This window comes from Homo sapiens, chromosome 3, assembly GCF_000001405.40.
Source record: "Homo sapiens chromosome 3, GRCh38.p14 Primary Assembly".
NCBI classification, from domain to species: Eukaryota; Metazoa; Chordata; class Mammalia; order Primates; family Hominidae; genus Homo; species Homo sapiens.
The window spans coordinates 67073389-67079989 of NC_000003.12; the positions used below are offsets into that span (position 1 = coordinate 67073389).

The 6601-nt window shown below is 37.6% G+C and overlaps 1 long non-coding RNA gene across 1 annotated transcript; it reads left to right on the forward strand.

Annotated features, from left to right (window-relative positions):
* Positions 1-2645: 2645 nt before the first annotated feature.
* On the forward strand, positions 2646-4841 carry LOC124909391 (uncharacterized). Its single transcript, XR_007095954.1, has 2 exons — positions 2646-2716; positions 4680-4841. It is a non-coding gene; the product is annotated as an uncharacterized LOC124909391 (long non-coding RNA).
* The last annotated feature ends 1760 nt before the right edge of the window (positions 4842-6601 follow it).

Below are 6601 nucleotides of genomic sequence, written 5' to 3' on the forward strand. Positions count from 1 at the left end.
TCAGCTGCAATTAATTAGCTGTGTGACCTTGGGGAAGTAGCTTGACTAATTAACTGGATCTAGTCTCCTTAGTTGCAAAGAGAAAAAGATATCAATTCCTTGGAGTGAGAGTTCTGCAAGTGGGATTTATGGGGGCCCAGGTGGTTTATTGAGGGCCTTATCAGAAATTTAGTTATCTCAGAAATAAAAATAATACCACAAATAATAAAAATAATAAGCAAAAGTGTTTTGTGCTTAAACATATTCAGTGATTTTGAAATATAGGATATGAATGTTATAGAAATATTATAAAATCCTCCTTCCCATATGTTCTGAGGTCTGGGCTACAGAAGCCTGATTAGTTCTCAGTAACTTTTAGTTAACAGGGTGCAGATCATTTCACTAATGTGTTTTCACATCATTTTCTTATTGCCATTTTCATTAGTTAATTTCCCACTTTTATTTGCTACAGTTATACTATGTTATAATTGCAATTTTTAATAATGGTTCTACGGCTCATGAGTGGCTCATTGATACTTTGGTTTTTTTTTTTTTTTTTTTTTGGCATGGCATCTCTTTCTAGATTGCTACTTTAAAGTGCCAATACAATAACTACATAAGTGTGATTTCAGAATTACACTGATGATGCAATAAATAGCACTTTGAGGTGAATGTAAGATTTGAATCTGTTTAGGTAGAGACAAGTGAATCTTCAACATGAAGATTTTACATGGCAGTTGAAAGAGTGTCATGTGAAATAAAAAAAAGATCATCTAAATATTTTCTTAGTTTTCACCATGCTGTCTGTTATGAAACTTTGAGAATATGCCATTATATTTGTAGCTTTTCTCATTGACAAAAAGACAAATATCATATTCTATCCAGAAGCTTATTAATAAAACATTAATGACATATAACATCTCAGTAGAAATGAGATAAAAACTCTTGCTGGATTCCTTTGTGACAGCATTGGGTGATAGTATAATCCCAGTAATTTGTAACATGGAAGGGCACCTGCTCATATTCTCATGCATATGCTAAGATGGATGAATGCGGTAAGATGCAAGCCATGAATCTACTTTGTGCACACACACCTAGCACACAGATGATGGAATAATGCTCAATGGCTTTATTTTTATTTAAAATTTTATTTGTATACAGTTATGGGTTACAAGGATAATTTTGTTACATGGATATATTGCATAGTGGTGAAGTCAGGGCTTTTAGTGTATCCATCAACAGAATAACACACATCGTATCCATTAAGTAACTTCTCCTCTGTTTCTGCTTGGGCAGTAGAGTTTTATTTTTTTTTTATTTCATGTGATATCCCCAAGACCAGATTCTCCACAACACATTATTATCTCCAGTATCAAAATGTATCACTGCACAGCCAAATCACTAAGATTTTTCAAGATCAAACTGTGGAGTAGATGGCTTGATAGACAAGAGTCTGACTTGTTTCCCCAAATAAGTTGACTTTTTCACCTTTCTAAGAGAAAAATCAATAATCTCATTGGCCATTACACACACACACACACACACACACACACACACACACACATGTTGTAACCGAATAAGAAGAATGCTTTCCAGAGCCCAAAACAACCAGAGTGATTAAGAATCCATTAGCTGCCATCTTTCAAATTACTTATTCAATCTTACAGCTTTTGAATGGATATGATCATCTGATGGTGCACTGTAGTCTTCAGCGAAATCCTATACACAATTTCTTGGTCCATCCATGTTCAGTGAGACTATGTAAAACTGTTGGAGCCAAGAATCTCATGCCACCACTTTTACCTCTAGTTTCATGTTCATATTTTATCCACAGTTTACATAAGTCCTCTGTTTAGTTTTCCTGAATTTATATTCATGGAATCAATGTTTTGCAGCACACACATTTTTAAGGAATTAAGGCCTATGGAGTCTTTCAAGGAAACCAAGGATTGCTTTCCAGTTTGAAGCTGCTTTCCTCTTTTTGTGTTTTCTATGGACCTAAAGAAATGAAAACTCTCAGTTGAGATTTTCAGGAAAGTACCTGACTACTGGCTGACTCAATAAGTTGCTATGAGAAATTAAATATGCAAATCATTTTTACATGCACATTTATATAGGGAAAACACCTGCACACCTGGATCCCCAGCAGTCTCTGCTGATTAATATGCATGTAACCCCGAACTGCCCGTTGCTGGGTAATAAGAGTTTTAAATGTACTTGGCTTATTTTCAAGTAAATCTCTGGGTCTTCAGTACTGCAATTAAATGTGCCAGGTTAGATGCTCATTTCATGTCAAATCCACTTCCTACCCTATGAAAGAAGTTCTATTTTTGCATTTAATAGGTATTTTGTCTTTACTTTGGAAGAAAAAAAAAGACTCCTGTTAACAGCAAACAATGAGATTTACAATGTAAAGAAAACCACCCGGTAAACTAGAATGTTTTACAGAGTGATTTAAAAAAATAAAAAGGTTGGGGAAGATGGTTCTGCCATGAAACAGCTGAAAGATCAAATGTAACTGAAAAACACTGGGGCCAGGTTGCCTCTGATGAATGATATCTCCTTTTTGATAGTGTACTTGTAAAATTCAGGTTATACATGCACCATTTTATTTGGGAATCTACAAAGCTTTGGAGATAGGTAGCAACAAGTTGGTTATTTTTTTAAGGTGGAGAAATTGAAGCTTGGCATCCCAGTGTCCCATTCAAGACGTTCCAAGCAGTAGATGGAAATGCAGGTGAGCAGTAGAGTTCATTCGAATTCACTTCCCTTGTTCAGGCCCCTCCCGCCGTGCCATTGCTATTCTTTCTGCGTGGGTATTGCTCATTCTTCGCCTGAGAGTATTTATTCTATCTTCACTAGAAATGAAAGCTTTAACCTATGGGCTTTTCATTTAAATAACATCATTTACATTTTATTTTATTTTTCAAACAGGTCTCCAGGGACAGAATCTCTGGGAATTAATTATGTACCACACAAGACTCTAAAAAATATGAGGTTCAAACTGGCTGATGTTACTTATGGAAATGGGCTGCCAAATAAAACAATCTAAGAAATATTTAACAGTGACATCTGACACATCTTATTCCAAATTAGGTATCACATATCTTATGACAGTCCAACAGAAAGCAGAGTTTTATTGTGCATGTTTTGCTTTAAAAGATTATTCCTTTTGCACCTCAGTAATACAAATAACAGTTTATAAGCATTTATACTCTATCATTAAAAACTCACATTAATATAAGACTATACTAATAGAACCTAGTTTAAACACATGTGTATTTGTAGGTTTATATAAGTTCATATGTCAAGCATTAGATAATTTTAATTGCTCAACGTAATCTTTAAAACAACTTAATGAGATAAGTAGTAGTATTTTTATTTTATACATACAAGGAAAGTGAAACCTTTAAAAAGTGAGGCAAGGTGAGTGACTCATTCAACTTTACTGGGCTTTTGCCTGTCCCTTTTGACCCTGCCAACGGAAGTATTTCTTCCTCTGTCCTTTTTTCCACACATTTCACCTTCTATTTACTTAAATATACTTTTGTTCTTCTGAACTCAAGCTAGTATTTTTGATATGGGGAAGGCAAATTAGTAAAGAAAGGCAGTTGATATTTAGTCCAAAAATAAGCAACCTAGTTAAAGAACATAAAAGAGATAAAATATTCTAGAGTTGGCTCTAATTTTCTGTTTTTTGCTTTACAAACCAGTTTTATTTTACATTGCCAATGACTTTTGGAGTCACTCTCTTCACACCACTTTAGCCACCCATTGATAATCACATTTTTACATCTGTCAGTGAAATTTACTCAGTCCTGATATTGTCAATTTAGACACTGCGTTCCCAGATCACAACCTTCTTTTCTTTCAATTCTCTCTATTCTTTCCAAGAAATCAGCCTTTGCCTACACTCAGGACTACAGTCCTTTCTGGTTTCCCTCCCAGGCTCCTCTGTCTTAATTTATTTCACTTTTCACTGCTCAGCTTAGAATTTGCTTCTCTTCAATCACTGTCTTACAAATATTCTGAACTCCCTTGACCTCTTAACCTTTTCTTGCACTTGACTGACCAAATTCCATCTATATTTGGACAAATCCCAGAATCTACCTTTTTCATATGCAGACTTCTGGGAAGTGCTGAATACAACTGTGCAAACTAAGGCTAATATATGATTGTGGTCACTGACCTCAAATGGCTTGTTCTTTTTCTCTAATAATACTATTTTCAGTTTTATATAGTCTCTTTTGCTTATTTTTTACAGCACTTAAGTAAAATATTCTCCACTCTTGTCAAGGCTTCATTTCCTTATCTCATCATCATCTTCAGAGAAAAAAAACTAGAAGTAATCAGAGGAAAATTACCTCAACCTTCTTCCATCAAGTCCAAGTATTTTTCTTTCCTGCACTGTACTGTTTTAGTTGGGGTTTTGCTAAAACCAAAGGTGAGGTAACATAGAAATGCTAATGCTTTATAGGAAAGTGTAATCCCAAGATGGTGTGAGTCAGAGGATGGTGCAATGGTTTGAATGTTTGTGTCCCTTCCAAAATTCATATTGAAACTTAATCACCAATGCAATAGTTTTAAGAGATATGAACTTTGGAAGTCATGAGGACTCTGCCCTAGTGACTGGAATTAGCATCCTTATAAAAGGACTCAATGTTGAAGGGAGCTCTCTTTTGCCCTCCCATCCCTTCCAGCACGTGAGGACATAGTGTTCCTTTTCTCTGAAGGATGCAGCAAGAAAGCGCCATCTTGGAAAGGGAGACGAAGCTCTTACCAGACACCAAACCTGCTGGCACCGTGATCTTGGACCTCCCAGCCTCCAGAACCATGAGAAATAAATTTATGTTGTATGTAAATTATCCAGTCTGTGGTATTTTGTGACAGCAGCACAAATAAACTAAGACAGATGGAAAGCAGATATAGGTGATGCAGCATTCAGCCATCTGCTGCTTTGTGAGATGCAAAGTCACTCACCCAAGTGGCCTCTCCCTTGAAAACCTGTACAGAACACAGGTATTCCAGAGTAGAATGAGGAATAGATAAGGACATTTCCAATGGTTCCTGCTCATCTTTTGCCTTTTCATGGGCCAAAGTTTGCCTCAGAGGCAGCTATTTTGTCCACACCTCTCTATTGTGGCACTCGGTACCTTTTCAAATTTTATTTTCCGTTTCCTTTCTATCCTCTCCTTTTTAAGGCATAATTTACACATATATTTGACTGCTTGAAGTTCCCCATAGTTCACTGATATCCTTTTTAATCTTTAGAGCTGTTTATCTCTCTATGATTTATTTTGGACAATTTCTATTTGCTATGACTTCAAGTTAACTAACCTTTCGTTCTGCAATATCTAAGCTATAGTTGTTTTCCTATCCAGTGTATTTTGCATCTCAGACACTGTAGTTTTCATCCCTGGAAGTTTGATTTGTATCTTTTCATGTCTTTCATGTCCCCACTTAACATATTCAATCTTTCCTCTAGCTTCTGGAGTATATGGAGTAGTTAAATAACAGTTTTAAGGTCCTTGTCTAGTACTTTTATCACTTGTAGCATTTCTAGATGAGTTTCTATTGATTTTTCTCCTATGGGTTACATTTTTCTGCTTTTTTGCAAGCTTGGTAATTTTTTGTTGGATGCCAGATATTATGAATTTTAGCTTATTGGGTATTAGATTATTTCTTTTTTATTTTTTTGAGACAGGGTTTTGCTCTGTCACCCAGGCTAAAGTGCAGTGGTGTGATCACATTTCACTGCAGCCTTGACCTCTTGGGCACAAGTGATCCTCCTGCGTCAGTCTCTCAAGTAGCTGGGCCCACAGGTGTATGCCACCACGCCTGGCTAATTTTTGTATTTTTTCTAGAGACAGGGTTTCACCACGTTGCTCAGGCTGATCTCAAACTCCTGAGCTCAAGCAATCTGCCTGCCTTGGCCTCCCAAAATACTGGTATTACAGGTGTGAGCCACCATGCCCAGCCAGGTGCTGGATCGATCCATCCTTCCTTCCTTCCTTCCTTCCTTCCTTCCTTCCTTCCTTCCCTCCCTCCCTCCCTCCTTCCTTCCTTCCTTCCTTGGAGTCTCGCTCTGTCACCAGACTGGAGTGCAGTGGCGCGATCTCAGTTCACTGCAATCTCTGCCTCCCGGGTTCAAGCGATTTTCCTGCCTCAGCCTCCTGAGTAGCTGGGATTACAGGCACACACCACCACGCCAAGCTAATTTTTGTATTTTTAGTAGAGACGGGGTTTCACCATGTTGGGCAGGGTGGTCTCCATCTCCTGACCTCGTGATCCGCCAACCTCGGACTCCCAAAGTGCTGGGATTACAGGGGCGAGCCACTGCGCCCAGCCTGGATTATTTCCTTCTAAAACTATTCTCCAGCTTTGTTTTGAAACAAGGTTAAGTTGCTTTGAAACACTGTGGCCCTTTCAGGTCTTGCTTTTAAGCTTTGTTAGTGAGGACTAGAGCAGTGTTTGGTCTAGGGTTAATTTTCTTCACTACTGAGGTGCTCTAACTGAGTCTTTAAGTTCTCCATATGTTTTCACCTACTCCCCAAAAAGCATGTAGTATGACTGGCTTAGGTATCTGTGCATGGGCTCCCCAAGATCATCCCCAAGGTTCATG